Source organism: Homo sapiens, chromosome 1, assembly GCF_000001405.40.
Source record: "Homo sapiens chromosome 1, GRCh38.p14 Primary Assembly".
NCBI classification, from domain to species: Eukaryota; Metazoa; Chordata; class Mammalia; order Primates; family Hominidae; genus Homo; species Homo sapiens.
In genome coordinates this window covers 35,068,138-35,088,584 of record NC_000001.11, presented here as the reverse complement: position 1 = coordinate 35,088,584, position 20,447 = coordinate 35,068,138, and the positions used below count along the sequence as shown (strand labels likewise).

General features: G+C 42.6%; 1 protein-coding gene across 12 annotated transcripts in view, besides 1 other annotated feature; it reads right to left on the bottom strand.

Annotated features, from left to right (window-relative positions):
- The window catches only part of ZMYM1 (zinc finger MYM-type containing 1), a 59,033-nt gene that overhangs the window by 30,234 nt on the left and 8,352 nt on the right, over positions 1 to 20,447 (bottom strand). For 11 of the 12 annotated variants that reach the window (XM_047430815.1, XM_047430816.1, XM_047430818.1 and 8 more), the window contains exon 1: positions 9,143 to 9,200. The gene's annotated coding sequence lies outside the window, so the exon portion shown is untranslated. Of the gene's footprint in view, positions 1 to 9,142; positions 9,201 to 9,365; positions 9,592 to 20,447 lie in introns of those variants that run through there. The other variant, NM_001289088.2, reaches the window with a different exon arrangement.
- Positions 8,775 to 9,293: an enhancer, noted in NCBI's record as "H3K27ac hESC enhancer chr1:35544893-35545411 (GRCh37/hg19 assembly coordinates)". NCBI's record gives its function as "activates a minimal SCP1, AML or CMV promoter by ChIP-STARR-seq in primed H9 embryonic stem cells {active_cell/tissue: H9 hESC(primed)}" and the evidence as "EXISTENCE:reporter gene assay evidence [ECO:0000049][PMID:30033119]".

Below are 20,447 nucleotides of genomic sequence, written 5' to 3'. Positions count from 1 at the left end.
AGTCAAAGGATGAATGTTGCACATCTTCCTGCTGGGCAATACTACTTGGTAGTAATATAAAATATATATACATATATGTACATACACACACACACACACACACACACACACACACACACACACACACACATATATATATATATATATATACACATAAACACATTTTTGAGATGGAGTCTCACTCTGTTGCCCATGCTGGAGTGCAGCGGTACGATCACGGCTCACTGCAACCTCCACCTCCCGGGTTCAAGCGATTCTCCTGCCTGAGCATCCTGTGTAGCTGGGATTACAGGCACGTGCTACCAAGCTCAGCTAATTTTTGTATTTTTAGTAGAGACGGGTTTTCACCATGTTGGCCAGGATGGTCTCGATCACCTGACCTTGTGATCCGCCTGCCTCGGCCACCCAAAGTGTTGGGATTACAGGTGTGAGCCACCGCGCCCAGCCATAAAATATTTTAATTTAAACCAAAGAGAGAAATATGATAAGAGCAGACAACAAAATTCACATTCATTTTTTTTTCTTGAGATGGAATCTCTCTCTGTCACCCAGGCTGGAGTGCAGTGACATAATCTCAGCTCACTGCAACCTCCGCCTCCCAGGTTCAACCAATTATCTGCCTCAGCCTCCTGAGTAGCTGGGATTATAGGCACCAGCCAGCATGCCTGGCTAAGTTTTGTATTTTTAGTAGAGATCGGGTTTCACCATCTTGGCCAGGCTGGTCTTGAACTACTGACCTCATGATCCACCGGCCTCAGCCTCCCAAAGTGCTGGGATTACAGGCATGAGCCACTGCCCTCGGCCCATATTCATTCTTAAAGTAAAACACGAGATCACAAAGAAACTGCAAGTTTCGAGGCCAGGCGTGGTGGCTCACGCCTGTAATCCCAGAACTTTGGGAGGCCAACGCGGGCTGATCACCTGAGGTTGGGAGTTCGAGACCAGCCTGACCAACATGGAGAAACCCTGTCTCTACTAAAAATACAAAAAATTAGCCGAGCGTGGTGGGGCATGCCTGTAATCCCAGTTATTTGGGAGGCTGAGGCAAGAGAATCACTTGCACCCAGGAGGCAGAGGTTGCAGTGAACTGAGACTGCGCCATTGCACTCCAGCCTGGGCAAGAAGAGCGAAACTCCATCTCAAAAAAAAAAAAGAAAATGCAAGTTTCAAGAGTTATTTCCAGATACACATATAGACCTCCAGGGGATATCATCCAGATTCCTCCTGGAAAATTAGTACAATAGTATTTATATAACCCTGATGGTTCAAACTACTGTTAAAAAATGAATTTTTGGGCGGGCACAGTGGCTCACCTCTGTAATCCCAGCACTTTGGGAGCCTGAGGCAGGCAGATTACCTGAAGTCAGGAGTTCGAGACTAGCCTGGCCAACATGGTAAAACCCCATCTCTACTCAAAATTCAAAAAATTAGTCAGGTGTGGTGGCACACACCTGTAGTTCCAGCTCTTGGGAGGCTGAGACAGGAGAATCTCTTGACCTGGGAGATGGAGGCTGCTGTGAGTGGAGATCGTGCCACTGCACTCCAGCCTGGGTACGACAGAGCAAGACTCCATCTCAAAAAAAAAAAAAAAAAAAAAAAAAAGGCTGGGTGCGGTGGCTCATGCCTGTAATCCCAGCACTTTGGGAGGCTGAGGTGGGTGGATCACAGGGTCAGGAGTTCAAAATCAGCCTGGCCAAGATGGTGAAACCCTGTTTCTACTAAAAATACAAAAAAAATTAGCCAAGCGTGGTGGTGGGCGCCTGTAATCCCTGCTACTCGGGAGGCTGAGGCAGAGAATTGCTTAAACCCAGGAGGTGGAGGATGTAGTGAGCTGAGATCAAGCTCACTGTCGCTCAAGCCTGGGTGACAGTGCGAAACTGCATCTCAAAAGAAAAAAAAAGAATTTTTTAATTGAAAAAAAAATTGCATGAGATTTCAATGAAATATAAGGCAGTTACAATAATGAAAGGAAACTGCATGACGATGAATAAGATTCACAGACATATAATCTCAAAACTAATTTATATAGAGACTATTTTTTTTACTGCTACAGATTAAGTTACAATCTTGATTGGAGACAGAGTTGAACAAATTTAGCAACAAACAGTCATTTTCTGCTTTTTATAAATAGCCCAGACTGTAGTCCCAGCTACTCAGGAGGCTGAGGCAGGAGGATCACCTGAACCTGGGAGGCAGAGGTTGCAGTGAGATATGATTGCGCCACCACACTCCAGCCTGTGTGACAGAGTAAGATTCCATCTCAGAATAAATAAATAAAATAAACTAATAACCCAATATTGAAAATTTTGGGAAAAAACCTTAAAATTCTGTATATATTGAAAATTTTGGGAAAAAACCTTAAAATTCTGTATGAATATAAATATGACTTGAAGAAATGATTTTAAAAAGCCACATTATGAATGACAGTGATTTATATAATGAAATTCAAATCTTCAATATTTTCTGTGATAACAATTTACCATGAGTAACCCAAATACAATGTTTAAACGTAATACATAAAATTGAATTCTGTCATCATTGAAAATTTGCTTACTTTCAGTCCTGAAAACCACAGCTTTACACGTGTTTTTCTATTTGGTCATTACAAAGGTGTATTTGTCACGGCAGGAGGATGGAACTCATTTTATTCCACGATGTGTTAGCTTAATTTATAACTTTTAAATATTTAGACACAGAGTATGTGGGCTTCCATTCATACTCTTAGCAAGGACCCCACAAATGCTAGGGGCCAGTGTGAACCTAGCACTCCAACCACAAGTACATTTCAAAACTAGGCTGGGAATGAGGGGTACAGAATACTGATTTAACAACAATAATTCCCTATTAGAGCTAGGTGGCTGGCATGTGCCACACCAAAGGCAAGAAAGGGCAGGCCCAAGAGAGCTCTAGGAATGACTGTTCAAGGAAGGAGGCTATTGTCCCTGAAGCTGGAATGTAGTCATGGAGGTGGTTTCAGGGTCAGGAAAGGACAGCTGCAGCCAAAGGGAGATCTACAACAACCACAGGAGAAAACACTATCCTCCTCTTTGGGCCAGAGGGAAAGGGAGACAGATGTCAAGGCAAAGAATCAGCTGCACCTTAACCTCCTCACTTTACTTGTCCTCATACTGCTTTCCTTCCTGCCAAAGTCATTTCTGCCTAATCAGATCCTATGCAGTTTGGAAACCAACTGAGCTCCAGATTTTAACAGACTAGCATGAAGTAAAAATAATATGGGGGCCGGGCGCGGTGGCTCACGCCTGTAATCCCAGCACTTTAGGAGGCCGAGGCGGGTGGATCACAAGGTCAGGAGATCGAGATCATCCTGGCTAACACGGTGAAACCCTGTCTCTACTAAAAATACAAAAAATTAGCCAGGCGTGGTAGTGGGCACCTGTAGTCCCAGCTACTTCGGAGGCTGAGGCAGGAGAAGGGCGTGAACCCAGGAGGCGGAGCTTGCAGTGAGCTGAGACAGTGCCACTGCACTCCAGCCTGGGCGACAGAGCGAGACTCTGTCTCCAAAAAAAAACCAAACCAAAACAAAACAAAAAACGGATAAATCCAGGCATAACAGAGTAGCCTTTAGCATACTAAATCCTTTCACTGGAATTAATTACAAAATTTAACAGACTTTACTGGTAAGGGGACTTTCCATGACAAAATAGTGGAAACCCAAGCAGAAAACAGCAGGAGACAGTTAGAAGTACTGGATTCTAAAGTAGCTGGAACTCAAGAGGCACAATCTGGGAGAGGAGGGAACTACAGAAAAATAATATGCATAGAAATCTCCCCTCCTCCAAGTCATTGGCGGACTCCTAAACTGCACATTTACAGAGTGAGACTTCAAAAACTTAACAGAACACAGCAGTTAAACGTCAAAGAGCTAATAAGATTATAGCAGCTATGCTGAGTTGAGAGTTGAAATTTAAGACCAGCAAGATAGAGGGGTTTTGGTAAAGACCTGGATTTCGGGTTGAGACTCAAGGAGGGCCTTGCCCTAGGAGTAATGGCTATGCCCCAGGAGGAAAAGAGACCACTTCCAAGAAGAAAGGACAAACTGAAATAGACCAGTCTTAACAAGACCTATAATCAACCCTCAACAGGATCAATGTCATCTGCTACTACTATCCACGTGCCTAATGGCAACCTTAGTCTGCTTTGAAGGAAGTACATCCGGATGCTAATAATGTTCATCCAAAATTTCCAGAATCCAGTAATAATTTATGGACTAAGAGGAATTTTTAAAATCCCAAAACTGACTGGAAAAAAATGGCAATAGAAACAAACCCACAGGTGACTCAGATATTGTTCTTGTCAGGCAAGGACTTGGTTATGTTTGAGAAAACAGAGGAAAGATGGAGAAGTTCTGTAGTGACCTGGCATCCATCAAAAAAAAAAAAAAAAGTTAAATGGAAAATCTAGAATTGGAAAACACAGTGAGGAAGTTAAGAATTCAATCGATGAATATCAAATTAGTGAAGAAGACAAGCTAGAAGGTACACTGATGCACAGAGATAAAAGGATGGAAAATTGAAATAATGTGCCATGTGGGATTCCTATTCAGTTCTAGAATAAGAATCTAGAATAATGTGCCACGTGGGATCTCTTATTCAGTTCTAGGATAAGAGAAAATAGACAATGCAAAAGAAGCAGTATTTGAAAGAAAATACCAGGCAAGGTGGCTCACGCCTATAATCCCAGAACTCTGGGAAGCCAAGGCAGGAGTTTGAGCCCAGGAGTTCGAGACCAGCCTGGGTGACATAGTGAGACCCTCATCTCTACAAAGAAATTAGAAAAATTAGCTGGGCATGGTGGTGGATGCCTGTAGTACAGGCTATGTGGGAGGCTGAGGCTGGAGGATCACCTGAGCCCAGGAAAGAGTTCCAGGTTACAGTGAGCTATGATCGCACCACTGCACACCAACCTAGGTGACAGACTGAGACACTGTCTCGAAAAAAAACAAAAACAAAAAATACCTACAATTTTTTAGGACAATTTCCTAAAACTGAAGAAAAACATCAAACCACATGAATTCAAGCTCTGTGAATCACAAATAAGATATAAAGAAAAACGCGAGTAGGCATGTCATAGTTACACTGGTGAAAACCAAAAAGAAAATCTTAAAAGCACTAAGGTTGGGTGTGGTGATTCACACTTGCAATTTGAACATGTCGGGAGGTAGAGGACAGAGGACTGCTTAGCCCAGGAGTTCGAGGCCACCCCCTGGCAGCATAGTGAGACCCCCATCTCTAAAAACAATTAAAAGATTAGCTGGGTATGATGGTATGCATCTGGAGTCCCAGCTACTCGGGAGGCCGAGGTGGTAAGACTGCTTAAGCCGGGAGGGTGAGGCTACAGTGAGCTGTGATCAAGCCACTGCACACCAGTCTGGGGGACAGTGAGACCCTGTCTTAAAAAAAAAAAAGAAAAGAAACAATAAAACCCCAGAAGCCAATGTAATATCTTTAAAGTGCTGGGGAAAAATCTACTTAAAATTCTATATTCAGTAAAAATATCCTTCAAGATTAAGAGCAAAATAAAGACATTTTCAGACAAATGAAAACACTGTAGAAATGCTACAGGAAATTCTTTTTTTATTTTTGGAGACAGAGTTTTACTCTTGCTGCCCAGGCTGGAGTGCAATGGCACAATCTCAGGTCACTGCAACCTCCACCTCCCGGGTTCAAGTGATTCTCCTGCCTCAGCCTCCTGAGTAGCTAGGATTACAGGCATGCACTACCACTCCTGGCTAATTTTTTGTATTATTAGTAGAGACGGGGTTTCACCATGTTGGCCAGGCTGGTCTGGAACTCCTGACCCCAGGTGATCCACCCGCCTCAGCCTTCCAAAGTGCTGGGATTACAGGGGTGAGCCACCACGCCCGGCCACTAAAGGAAATTCTTTAAGCTAAAGTAAAATAGTAGATGGGAATTTAGCATAAAAGTTGGAAAGCAGGCCAGGCGTGGTGGCTCACGCCTGTAATCCCAACACTTTAGGAGGCTGAGGCAGGCGGATCACTTGAGGTCAGGAGTTCGTGACCAGCCTGGCCAACATGGTGAAACCCCATCTCTACCAAAAATACAAAAATTAGCTGGGTATGGTGGTGCACGCCTGTAATCCCAGCTACTCGGGAAGCTGAGGCAGGAGAACTGCATGAACCCAGGAGGTGGAGGTTGCAGTGAGCCCAGATCATGCCACTGCACTCCAGCCTGGGTGACAGCGCATGACTCCATTTAAAAAAAAAAAAAAGTTGGAAAGGAAGAAAACTTTTTATTTGTAGACATGACTGCATATAGAAAACTCTAAGGAACCTCCCCCAACTCACCCCCCGCAAAAGAAACTATTAGAATAAGTGAATTCAGCAGAATTATAGGATAATACAAGATCCGCATTTTAGAATTTTTCTTATCACTTATCTTCAACATTGTAGTAGAAGTTCTAGTTAGATCAATAAAGCAAGAAAAAATAAAAGACAAACTTTGAAAAGGCAGTTAAAATTGTTATTATTCATGGATGACATGATTCTATACAAAGAAAATTCAAAAGAATCTCCAAGTTATTAAGCTTAGCAAGACATTCGAAAATAAATTTTGGCCAGGTGCAGTGGCTCACGCCTGTCATCCTAGCAATTTGGGAGGCAGAGATGGGTGAATTACCTGAGGTCAGGAGTTCAAGACCAGCCTAACATGGTGAAACCCGTATCTACTAAAAATACAAAAGAATTAGCTGGGCATGGTGGTGGGCACCTGTAATCCCAGCTACTCAGGAGGCTGAAACAGGAGAATCACTTGAACCTGGGTGTCAGAGGCTACAGTGAGCCGAGATTGTGCCACTGCATTCCAGCCTGGGTGACACAGTGCGACTCCGTCTCAAACAAACAAACAAAAAATCAATTTTATTTCTTTATACTAGAACAGAAAAATATAAAAATAACCATTTTCTGCAGCATCATAAATATCAAATATAGGAATAAATCTAATGAAAGCTATTAAAGAACTCTACAGTGAAAACAAAACATTGCTGAGAGAAATTAAGGAAGATCTAAATAAATGCTCATTGATGGAAAGAGTCAATATTAATTTTTCTCCTAATTAAGCTGTAGATGAAAATCCCAGCAGGGGTTTTTGTGGAATTTGTAAGGTAATTCTAATGTATATACAATGTGCATACAGAGCCTAGCATAACCAAGACAATATCAAAAAAAAAAAATGTTGGAAGGGCTTATAAAGCTACAGTAAATTAAGATAGTGTGGTATGGACACAAGCAAAAACAAAACAGAGTCTGGAAGCAGATATACTCCTATCCCTTATTTCTTCGCATTATACCACTTCTTTATACATTACACTTTGCTAAGATTTATTTTATTCGGCCGGGCACGGTGGCTCCTGTCTGCAATCCCAGCACTTTGAGAGGGTGGATCAGCTGAGGTCGGAGTTCTAGACCAGCCTGGCCAACATGGTGAAACCCTGTCTCTACTAAACAAAAATTAGCCAGGTGTGGTGTAATCCCAGCTACTTGGGAGGCTGAGGCAGGAGAATCACTTGAACTGGAGGTGGAGGTTGCAGTGAGCTGAGATCGCGCTACTGCACTCCAGTCTGGGAGACAAGAGTGAAATGCTGTCTCAAAAAAAAAAAATTATTTTATTCAACTGAGTTCTGCAAGGTCTTTTACTAGCCTGATGGGAAGGCTGGAGGCAGAAGGCTATATGTTTTTCAAACCAAACTAAAATGTCCATGGTTAATTCTGCAGGCAATGAAGAGCCATCATTTCCGAAGTGCCTTGGTACCGGGTTACACTGATGAGTAGGATGTCCCAACCAGTAAGTATATACAAGGTACTGAGAAGAAATGAAAAAAGAAGACGGTCAGTCTTCTGGGAGGTGAAATTTGAGCTGGGTTTTAAAGTGTCTACCAACCAATGATGGCGGATATTCCTGGTATAGAGACAGCATGTACAAAACCACAAATAGCCGGGCACAGTGGCTCAAGCCTGTAATCCCAGCACTTTGAGAGGCCCAAGCAGGTGGATTGCTTCGATTCAGGAGTTCGAGACCAGCCTAGGCAACATGAAGATAACCTGTCTCTACAAAAAATACAAAAATTAGCTGGGCGTAGTGGGGAGCACCTGTTGTTCCAGCTACTCTGGAACCTGAGGTGGGAGGATCGCTTAAGCTCGGAAGGCTGAGGCTGCTTGTGAGCCGTGATCGTGTCACTGCACTCAGCCTGGGCCAAAGAGCGAGACCCAGTCTCCAAAAAAAAAAAAAAAAAAAGAAGCACAAATATATGGGAACTAGAAGGAGTGGGACTGTTGTTGCAGATAAAGTACAAGTGCAAGAGTGCTAGTAGAAGGAACTGGAAAGTTTGAAAAGTAGACATGGGTCATGTCAGGAAGGTCCCTGATACCAAATACCTTAAAATTAATCTTGTAAATCAGCAGCGTTCAAACTGTGCTTTTGGGGTTCAGCAAACATTTCATTTTTTTTTTTGAGACGGGGTCTCGCTCTGGAGTGCAGTGGCACGATCTCGACTAAATGCAACCTCTGCCTCCCGGTTCAAGCGATTCTCCTGCCTCAGCCTCCTGAGTAGCTGAGATTACAGGCGCCTGCCACCAAGCCCAGCTAATTTTTGTACTTTTAGTAGAGACGGGGTTTTGCCATGTTGGCCAGGCTGGTCTCGAACTTCTGACCTCAAGAGATCCGCCCGCCTGGGCCTCCCAAAGTGTCGGGATTACAGGCTTGAGGCACCACGCCCGGCCAGGAGTCAAACTTTTGAAAAATCACTGCTCAATGAAGGAGAGATACAGGTGTGATGGGGCTTCTGAAACGGAGGCTGCGGAGCGAGACTAAAGTCTGAAGGCCCAGTTACTACACAGGAGCAGGAGGCGGCGAGAATCGCTGGAAGCGGGGAGCACTAACCCCCCCAGTCTATGAGGGCAAGGTTAAAGGAGGCGGCAAACACAATCCACGTCAGGGCCTGGCCCGGAGTTCCCGACCCCCATCTGGCGGAATCCGCACTCAAAGCTCCGTCTCTAAAACCCCGACCCGGCGCGTCATCCTCCCTCCGACCGACAGCAGAAACCCTGCCCCTTTCGAGTAAGGCGCAGGAGTAAAGACCGAAACCAGAGCCGCATGAGGAGGCTTACTAATTTCTCTCAGGGACGCCCCGCCCAACGCTTCTGAAACAATCTTCGAAGCGAAACGGCCCCGCCGACCCCGCCCCTCTCCCGTCGTGCTCTGCGGTTGAGCATGCGCAGGGCCGCTGGCTCAGGGTGGTCCCAGCTCCCTGAATTGGGAAGAGCGACTTTGGGATAGAAGAAGTGGGAGAGGGGGAGGGGAAGAGTCCTTACGGCCCGCATAGGATCTTACCCTTGAAGTCGTCGCTGGCTGGCAGCCAAAGTAGGACCCTTGACTCAGAGCTCAGGCAGGGCAGTTAGATTTCCTGGATTTGAGAGATGGCTTTACTACTTATTAGCTGTGTGCTAGTAAGCGATTTGACAACTTCTATAAATCTCCATTTCTTCGACCTTGAAATGGGGATAATTGTAGTGGCTGCATCGTAGGTTTGTAAACATTAGGCAGGCTTCTGCAGAAGCTGGACTCAAAAAAAAAAAATATGACAGGCAATGTTAGCAAAGTGCCAGTTGCAGAGTAAATTCCTAGTAAAAGGAAATTATCCTCAGAGGTAGGGAGGGAGTTCAGACTTCTTTCATTAGTACGTTAAAATTAAAATGACCCCAGGCTGGGTGTGGTGGGTCACACCTATAATTCCAGCACTTTGGGAGGCCGAGGCGGGTGGACTGCTTGAGTTCAGGAATTCAAGACCATCCTGACCAACATGGTGAAACCCCGTCTCTATTAAAAATACAGAAATTAGCCGGGCATGGAGGCGGGCGCCTGTAATCCCAGCTACTTGGGAGTCTGAGGCAGGAGAATCGCTTGAAGCCAGGAGGCAGAGGTTGCAGTGAGCTGAGATTGTACCACTGCACTTCAGCCTGAGCGACAGAGAGAGACTGCGTCTCAAAAAAAAAAAAAAAAAAAAAAAAAAAAATTAAAATAACCCCAAACTGCATGTCAAAAATAATGGCATATTTTAAATGTTTTTTGACAATACTTTCAACACCTAAAAAAGTATAGGACGAACTAACTGTGCTATTCCTAAAGGCATAAGAGGATTCTAAAATATATATATAAGGTTGAATGATGAACTTATTATAATCATATTTGACAATTACTTTTAAAGGAGATATTCTCAAAAATCTAAATTTGAGGCCCTTGTGAAGGTGAGGTCCAGACCAAAAGGGCCTCCTAATCCTTGCTGCTATGGTCCTTAAATATCCTTTGGAATTAGCCTCAAATCTAATATAAACCCTTTGGTAATTTGAAATATTATACGAGTAACTGAAGTTAATTTCTCCAACATTTATTATTACCTTCTAATATTCATAATAATCTGTTTAGACTGTTAGGATTAGAAAGGACCTTACTGAAATGATCTCTCCTCTAATGCTCCCTTCCTACCAAAGGAAAAGCTGAAGGCAAGAGGATAAAGGTAATTTGCCCCAAGTTACACAGCAACTCAGTGACTGGGATTAGATTGGAACCCAGAAATGAGTCCTGGTTCAGTGGGCATCCAAAGGCAAGTGATGTCATTGTAAATGCCCCGTGGGTTCACCTTGCCCGCTACCTAAACACAGTCCATTTATCAAGACGGGGAATTGCAATAGAGAAAGAGTAATTCACGCAGAGCCAGCTGTGCGGGAGACTGAAATTTTATTATTATTTAAATCAGTCTCCTCGAGCATTTGGGAATCAGAGTTTTTAAGGACAACTGGTGGGTGGGGGGAAGCCAGTGAGCCAGAAGCGCTGATTGGTTAGGTAGGAGATGAAATAATGGGAAGTTGAAGCTGTCTGTCCTCATGCGCTGAGTTAGTTCCCTGGTGGGGGCCACAAGATCAGATGAGCCTGTTTATCTATCTGGGTGGTACCAGCTGATCCATCAAGTGCAGGGTCTGCAAAATATCTCAAGCACTGGTCTCAGGAGCAGTTTAGGGAGGGTCAGAATCTTGGCCTCCAGCTGCATGACTCCTAAACCATAATTTCTAATCTTGTGGCTAATTTGTTAATCTTATAAAGGCAGTCTAGTCCCCAGGCAAGGAGGAGGTTTGTTTTGGGAAAGGGCTGTTATTGTCTTTGTTTTAAACTATAAACTAAATTCCTCCCAAAGTTAGTTTAGCCTATGCCCAGGAAGGAACAAGGACAGTTTAAAGTTAGAACCAAGATGGAGTCCATTAGGTTAGATCTCCTTCATGGTCTCAGTCATAATCTTGCAATGGTGGTTTCATCGTCATTACTAACTTCCTTGGGAGTTGAGTTGAAAAAATGGTAGGATTCATGATATCATAAAAAATTGTAAGGATGTGTGATAATTTTGAGATGTGATATTCCAACCACCCCCAGTGATAGATCTGAAAATTTGGCCCAATATTTCAAGCAGTAGATGTAGGTCACAAGTTTCATGCGTCTTTCTTGCCCTGAAGTCTCAATAGTTTATACTGGCTGAAAGATTAAGTCCTAAGGAATAGGAGGAGAGCTCTGGGAGATAGGAAGCTTGATTCATTCTTTTTCTTTTCTTTTCTTTTTTTTTTTTTTTGAGACAGAGTTTTGCTCTTGTCACCCTGGCTGGAGTGCAATGGCGTGATCTTGGTGGCTCACTGCAACCTCTGCCTCCTGGGTTCAAGCGATTCTCCTGCTGCAGCCTCTCAAGTAGCTGGGACTACCGGAGTGCCCCATCATGCCCAGCTAATTTTGTATTTTTAGTAGAGATGGGGTTTCGCCATGTTGGCCAGTCCAGTCTTGAACTCCTGACCTCAAGTGATCTGCCCACCTCAGCCTCCCTGGGTGCTGTGATTACAGGCGTGAGTCAACGTGCCTGGCTGATTCATTTGTTTTCCTTTCTTTTTTTTTTGAGATGGAGCTTCGCTCTTGTTGCCAGGCTGGAGTGCAATGGCGCAATCTTGGCTCACCGCAACCTTCACCTCCTTGGTTCAAGTGATTATCCTGCCTCAGCCTCCTGAGTAGTTGGGATTACAGGCATGCGCCACCATGCCCAGCTAATTTTGTATTTTTAGTAGAGATGGGGTTTCTCCATGTTGGTCAGGCTGGCCTTGAACTCCTGACCTCAAGTGATCCGCTCACCTCAGCCTCCCAAAGTGCTGGGATTACAGGTGTGAGCCACCACATCCGGCCAGAAATTGAACCTTTTTTTACTGGGGGCATATGGGTAAAATCAATTTGCCAGTCCTGTCCTGGAAGGTGTCCCCTGGCTTGACAGGTTGGGAAAGAAGGGGGTCTAGTGTTGCAGTGGGGTGAAGTTTTCTGGCAAATAGAGCGTTGATGGGGAATGGCTTTTAACTGTTCCTTTATATCTGGGGTTATGTGTATATGGGAACTTAAGAAATGTAGAGGGCAATGGCTAGTGTGGAAGAGGTTGTGAATGTCCTGTGAAAGAGTTGCTTTTTCAGGGTCAGGTAGGACTAATTTGTTTTGTATGAACCAGTATGGGGGTTTGAATTGTGCCCTTGCCATGATTAGTTGTTGTATTTGGTGTTCTGGATAAAAGGAGGGGATATGTTGTATGAGGGGAAATAGGTATTGGGGAATTGGGTGATTGGTTGAGCACAATAGTCAGCCTCACAGTTCCCTAAAGAAATGTAGCTTTTATCTGATTGATGTCTTTGCAATGAATAACTGCAACCTTTCCTGGAAGTAAAGCTGCCTTTAGTAGATGATGGATTGGTTTTCCATTAATGATAGTTGTTCCCTTAACCATGAGATAGCCCCACTTGCTCCACATTTGGGCATTGGAATGGTTGATGTTATAGGCATATTTGGAATTGGTGTATATATTAACTTGTGTGGTTTTTGCTAGGGTTAATGCTCTTATTAGGGCAATTAATTTCTGCTTTTTGGTAGGATGTGCCCAAAGGCAAGGGGGCAGCCTCTACAACTCTTCTAGGTGGGAGAGAGTGGGTATCATCATGATATCCCTCAGTAATGGCATATCCTCTTGGAGGGGAGGGTTTTTTGATGGCTGCCATCTATAAACCAATCCGGGGCTTCCTTTATGTGAGTGGAAGTAAGGCAGGAGAATCACTTGAACCCAGGAGGCAGAGGTTGCAATGAGCTGAGATTGTGCCATTGCACTCCATCCTGGGCAATAAGAGTGAAACTCTGACTCAAAAAAAACAAAAAACAACAAAAAAGCAAGACCCAACATATTGCTGCCTACAAGAGACTCACCTCACCATTAAAGACAAACACAAGCAAAGTGAAAGGATGGAAAAAGATTTTCTATGCAAACAGAAACCAAAAGTAAGCAGGAGTAGCCACACTTATATCAGATAAAATAGAACTTAAGTCAAAAACTGTAAAAAGAGACAAGGTCATTATGTATGACAAGGGGGTCAATTTAACAAGAGGATATAACAATTATAAATATATATGTGCTACCATCCTGGCTAACACAGTGAAACCCCATCTCTACTAAAAATACAAAAAATTAGCTGGGCGCAGTGACGGGCGCCTGTAGTCCCAGCTACTCAGGAGGCTGAGGCAGGAGAATGGCGTAAACCCAGGAGGCAGAGCTTGCAGTGAGCCGAGATCGCGCCACTGCACTCCAGCCTGGGCGATGGAGGGAGACACTGTCTCAAAAAAATTAAAAAAAAAAAAAATATATATGTGTCCAACACCAGAGCACCCCAATATATAAAACTAATATTACTAGAGCTAAAGAGATAGACTGCATACAATAACAGTACGGGACTTCAACACCCCACCCTCAAAAATGGATAGATCATTTAGCTAGAAAATCAACAAAGAGGGCTGGGTGCGGTGGCTCATGCCTGTAATCCCAGCACTTTGGGAGGCTGAGGCGGGTGGATCACGAGGTCAGGAGTTCAAGACCAGCCTGGCCAATATGGTGAAACCCCATGTCTACTAAAAATACAAAAATTAGCTGGACATGGTGGCGTGTGCCTGTAATCCCAGCTACTTGGGAGGCTGAGGCAGGAGAATCGCTTGAACCCAGGAGGTGGAGGTTGCAGTGAGCCAAGACGGCGCCACTGCACTCCAGCCTGGTGACAGAGTCTCAAAAAAAAGAAAAAAAAAGAAAATCAACAAAGAAACATCAGACTTTAGCTACACCATGGACCAAATGACTTAACAGACATTTACAGAACATTCCATCCAACAGCTGCAGAATACACATTCTTCTCAACTGAGCATTATCCAGGATAGACCATATATTAGGCCACAAAACAAATCTCAGCAAATTTAAGAAGATAGAGATCATAGCAAGTATCTTTTTGGACCACATGGTATAAAATCAACAATAAGAAAAACTTCAGAAATCTTACACATGTGTGGAAAGTAAACAAGATGATCCTGAATGACCAATTGGTCAATGAAGAAATTAAAGTGGAAATTAAAAAATTCCTTGAGGGCAGCCACGGTGGTTCATACCTGTAATTCCAGCACTTTGAGAGGCTAAGGTGGGTGGATCACTTGAGATCAGGAGTTTGAGACCAGGCTGGCCAATATGGTGAAAGCTCATCTCTACTAAAAATACAGAAAAAGATTAGCTGGGCATGATAGCGCACACTTGTAATCCCAGCTGAGGCAGAAGAATCGCTTGAACCTGGGAGGCGGAAGTTGCAGTGAGCCAAGATTTCACCACTGCACTCCAGGCTGGGGGACAGAGCGACAAACAACATGGAAACACATCATCACAAAATCATAGGGACACAGGAAAAGCAGTTTTAAGAGGGAAGTTCCTACCAAAAAATGGATCAAAAAAGAGAAATGATTTTCCTTCCTTCCTTCCTCCCTCCCTCCTTTCCTTCCTTCCTTTCTTCCTTCCTCCTTTCCTTTCCTTTTTTTCTTTTCTTTTCTTTTTTTATTTCCTTTCTTTGTTGTTTCCTTTCCTTTCCTTCTTTTCTTTTCTTCTTTTCTTTTTTTCTTTCCTTTCTTTCTTGTTTCACTCTATCACCTAGGCTGGCGTGAAGTGGTGTGATCATAGCTCACTGCAGCCTGGAACTCCTTCACTTGAGCAATCTGCTTGCCTCAGCCTCCTGAGTAGCTGGGACTACAGGCATGTGTCAACATACCTGGCTAAAAAAGAAGAAATATTTCTCTTCCTTTCTTTCCTTTCTTTCCTTCCTTCCTTCCTTCCTTCCTTCCTTCCTTCCTTTCTTTCTTTCTCCCTTTCTTTTTTTCTTCCTTCCTTCCTTCTTCCTTTCCTTTCCTTCCTTCTTTCTTTCCTTTTTTTTTTTTTTTTTGACAGAGTGTTGCTCTGTTACCCAGGCTGGAGTGCAGTGACGTGATCTCAGCAACCTCCACCTCCTAGGCTCCAGCAATTCTCATGCCTTAGCTCCCTGAGTAGCTGGGACTACAGGCATGTGCCACCATGCCTGGCTAATTTTTCGTATTTTTTGTATTTTTTTTTTCGAGATGGAATCTCACTCTGTCACCCAGGCTGGAGTACAGTGGTGCAATCTCAGCTCATTGCAACCTCTGCCTCCCAGGTTCAAGTGATTCTCCTGCCTCAGCCTCCCAAGTAGCTGGGACTATAGGCTCCCACCACAATGCCTGGCTAATTTTTGTATTTTTAGTAGAGACAGGGTTTCACCACATTGGCCAGGCTGGTCTGGAAATCCTGACCTCAGGGGATCCACCTGTCTTGGCCTCCCAAAGTGCTGGGATTACAGGCATGAGCCACTGCTCCCAGCCTTTTTTGTATTTTTAGTAGAGATGGGGTTTCACTATGTTGACCAGGCTGGTCTTGAACTCCTGGCCTCAAGAGATCTACCCTCCGTGGCCTCCCAAAGAGCTGGGATTACAGGTGTGAGCCACCACGCCTGGCCAAGAAGAAATATTTCTAATTAACTACCTAACCATGCACCTCAAGAAACTAGAAAAACAAGAAAAAACTAAACCTGAAATTGATAGAAGGGAGGAAATAATAAAGCTCAGAGCAGAAATAAAAACATAGAGGCTAAAAAAAATTCAAAAGATCAATAAAATGAAGAGTTGGTTTTCTGAAAAAAAAATTAACAAACTTTTAGCTAGACTAACCAAGCAAAAAAGAGAAAAGACCCAAATAAATAAAATGACAGATGAAAAAGAAGACACTGCAACTGATATCACAGGAATTCAAAGGACCATAAGAGACTATCATGAACAACTATATGCCAATAAACTTTAGAAGATTAAATTCCTGGACAAATACAACCTGCCAAGATTATATGATGAAGAAATAGAAAATCTGAACAGAGCAAAAATGAGTGAGGAAATTGAAACTGTAATAAAAAGTCTGCCATCAAAAAAACTCCAAAACATAAACACATCCAGGACCCAATGGCTTCACTGCTGAATTTTATTTTATTTTATTTTTTGACATGGAGTTTCTCTCTTATTGCCCAGGCTGGAATGCAATGGCGTGATCTCGGCTCACTGCAACCTCCACCTCCTGGGTTCAAGGAATTCTCCTGCCTCAGCCTCCCAAGTAGCTGGGATTACAGGCATGCACCACCACTGGCTTATTTGATAGTTTTAGTAGAGACAGGGTTTCACCATGTTGGTCAGGCTGGTTCGAACTCCTGACCTCAGATGATCTGCCCGCCTTAGCCTCCCAAAGTGCTGGGATTACCGGCATGAGCCACTGCGCCCAGTTTTCACTGCTGAATTCTACCAAACATTTAAAGAAGAACTAATGTCAATTATTCTCAAACCATTCCTGAAAATTGAAAAGAAAGGAATACTTCCAAACTCATTTTAAGATGCCAGCAATACCTTGATTCCAAACCATACAAAGACAAAACAACAACAAAACTACAGTTCAATATCCCTGATGAACATAAATGCAAAATTCTCAAGAAGATACTAGCAAACTGGAAGGCTGGGTGCAGTGGCTCATGACTATAATTCCAGCATTTTGGGAGGCTGAGGTGGGAGGACTGCTGGGGCCCAGGAGTTAGAGATCAGCCTGGGCAACATACTGAGACTTTGTCTCTACAAAAAATTAGAAAAGTTAGCCAGGCATGATGGCATGCACCTGCAGTCCCAACAACTCAGGAGGCTGAGGTGGAAGGATCACTTGAGCCTGGGAAGTCAAAGCTGTAGTGAGCCATGATTGCGCCATTCCATTCCAGCCTTGGTGATAGAGTGAGACCCGACCCTGACTCCAAAAATAAATAAATAAATAAATAAATAAATGGCAGCAAACTAAATTCAAAAGCACATCAAAAATATCATTCACCACGAACAAGTGGGATTCATCCTAGGGATGCAAGTATGGTTCGACATATTCACATCAATATGATATATCACATTAACAAATAGAAGGCTGGGCACAGTGGCTCATGCCTGTATTCCCAGCACTTTGGGAGGCTGAGGTAGGCGGATCATCTGAGGTCAGGAGTTTGAGAACAGCCTGGCCAACATGGCGAAACCCCATCTCTACTAAAAATATTAAAAAAATTGCTGGGTGTGGTGGCGCACACCTGTAATCTCAGCTACTTGGGAGGCTGAAGCATGAGAATTGCTTCAACCTGAGAGGTGGAGGTTGCAGTGAGCCAAGATCATGCCACTGCACTCCAACCTGGGCAACAGAGTGAGACTCCATCTCAAAAAAACCCAAAAACCAAAAACCCATTATTTCAATATATGCAGAAAAAGGATTTGACAAAATTCAACATCGCTTCATGATTAAAAAAAAAAAACCCTCAAGAAGTTAGGCATAGAAGGTATGTAACTCAACACAATAAAGGCCATATATGACAAACCTATTGCTAACATTATCATATATCACAAACCCACAGCTAATATTAGCTTTTCTTGTAAGAACAGGAAGAAGACAAGGATGCCCACTTTCACCACTCCTATTCATCATAGTACTGGAAGTCCTAGCCAGAAGAATTAAGCAAATGAAAGGAATAAGAAACATCTAAATTGGAAAGGAGGAAGTCAAATTGTCTCTGTTTGAAGACAGCATAATGTTTTTATTTTAAACAACATAATCTTATATATAGAAAATCTAAAGACTCCACCAAAAATCTGTTAGAACCAATAAACAAATTCAGTAAAGTTGCAGGATACAAAATCAACATAGAAAAATCAGCAGTGTTTCTATATATTAATAGTGAACTATTAGAAAAGTAAATCAAGAAAACAATTCTATTTATAATCGCTACAAAAAAGATACCTAGGAACCAACTTAATTAAGGTGGTGAAAGATCTCTACATGGAAAACCATAAAACATTAGTGAAAGAAATTGAAAAATACCCAAATAAATGGAAAGATATCCCATATTCACAAATTGGAAGAATTGATATTGTTGAAATCCCCACACTACCCAAAGCAATCTATAGATTTAATGCAATCTCTACAAAAATACCAATGACATTATTCACAGAAATATAAAAAACAATCTAAAAATTCAAATGGAACCACAAACAACTCCAAATTGCTAAAGCAATCCTGAGCAAAAAGAACAAAGCTGGAAGCATTATTCTATCAGACTTCAAAATATACTATCAAGCTATAGTAACCAAAACAGCATGGTACTGGCACAAACACACACACATAGACCAATAGAACAGAACAGAAAGCCCAGAAATAAAGTCATGCACCTACAGCTAACTGATTTTCAACAAAGGTGCCAAGAGCACACATTGGGTAAAAGACAGTTTCTTCAATAAACAATGCTGGGAAAATTGGATATGCATATGCACAAGAATGAAGCTAGACTCCTACCTCTCACCATATACAAAATTCAATTCAAAATGAATTAAAGACTTAAATGTAAAACCTGAAACCATTAAATTACTAGAAGAAAACACAGGGAAAATGCTTAATAACATTGGACTGGGCAATTTTTTTAAAAAAATAAGTCCTCAAAAGCACAGGCAACAAAAACAAAAATAGACAAATGGAACTACATCAAACTAAAAAGTTTTTGTGCAGCAAAGGAAACAATAGAGTGAAGAAAGACAATCTATAGAATGGGAGAAAATATTTGCAAACTATACATCTGACAAAAGGTTAATATCCAGAATATATAAGGAAGTTAACTCAACAACAAAAAAACAGATAATCTGATTTTAAAATGGACAAGATAACTTAAGAGACATTTCTCAAAAGAATTAATTCAAATGGCCAACAGGTACACGAAAAAATACTCAACATCACATATCAGGGAAATGCAAATCAAAATCACAATGAGATAACACCTCACTTCAGTTAGAATGACTATAATCAAAAAGACAAAAAGACAGGTGTCAATGAGGATATGGAGAAAAGGGAACACTTACACACTGTGGTGAAATTATAAACTAGTACAGCCACTATAGAAAAATGGATAGAAGTTCCTCAAAATATTAAAAATAGAACTTCCAGGCCAGGTGCGGTGGCTCATGCCTGTAATCCCAGCACTTTGGGAGGCTGAGGCAGGCAGATCACCTGAGGTCAGGAGTTTGAGATCAGCCTGGCCTACATGGTGAAATCCCATCTCTACTAAAAAACCCCGTCTCTAAAATTAGCCAGGCGCACCTGTAGTCCCAGCTACTTGGGAGGCTGAGGCAGGAGAATCGCTGGAACCTAGGAGGCGGAGATTGCAGTGAGCCAACATCACGCCATTGCCCTCCAGCATGGGTGACAGAGCAAGACTCCATCTCAAAAAAGAAAAGAAAAGAAAAAAAGGACTTCCATTTGATGTCACATCTAAGAATTCTTTGCTTAATCCCATGTTATGAAGATTTTTCTCATACTCTTTATTCCAAAAATTTTATAGTTTTATATTTTACATTTAGATCTAGGATCCATTTTGAGCTAATTTTTGTGTGAGATGAGAGGTGTAGTTTTATATATATATATATATATTTTTTTTTTTGCGTATGGATTTCCAGTTGTTCCAACACCATATGTTGAAAAGTCTGCTGTCTCTTCATGGAATTTCCCTTTTACCTTTGTCAAAAATCAATTGGCCATATTCGTCTGCATTTCTCCTTGACTGTCTACCCTCTGTTACATGAATCTATGTGTCTATCCCTTTGCAAATACCACAGTTTCTTTTCTTCTTCTTCTTTTTTCTTTTCTTTTTTTTTTTTTTTTGAGGCAGAGTTTCACTCTGTTGCCCAGGCTGGAGTGCAACGGTGTGATCTTGGCTCACTGCAACCTCTGCCTCCCGGGTTCAAGCAATTCTTGTGTCTCAGCCTCCTGAGTAGCTGGGACTACAGGCGCCTGACACCACACCTGGATAATTTTTGTATTTTTAGTAGAGACGGAGTTTTGCCATGTTTGCCAGGCTGCTCTTGAACTCCTGGCCTCAAATGATCCTCCCATCTTGGTCTCTCAAAGTGCTTGGATTACAGGCATGAGCCACTGCACCTGGC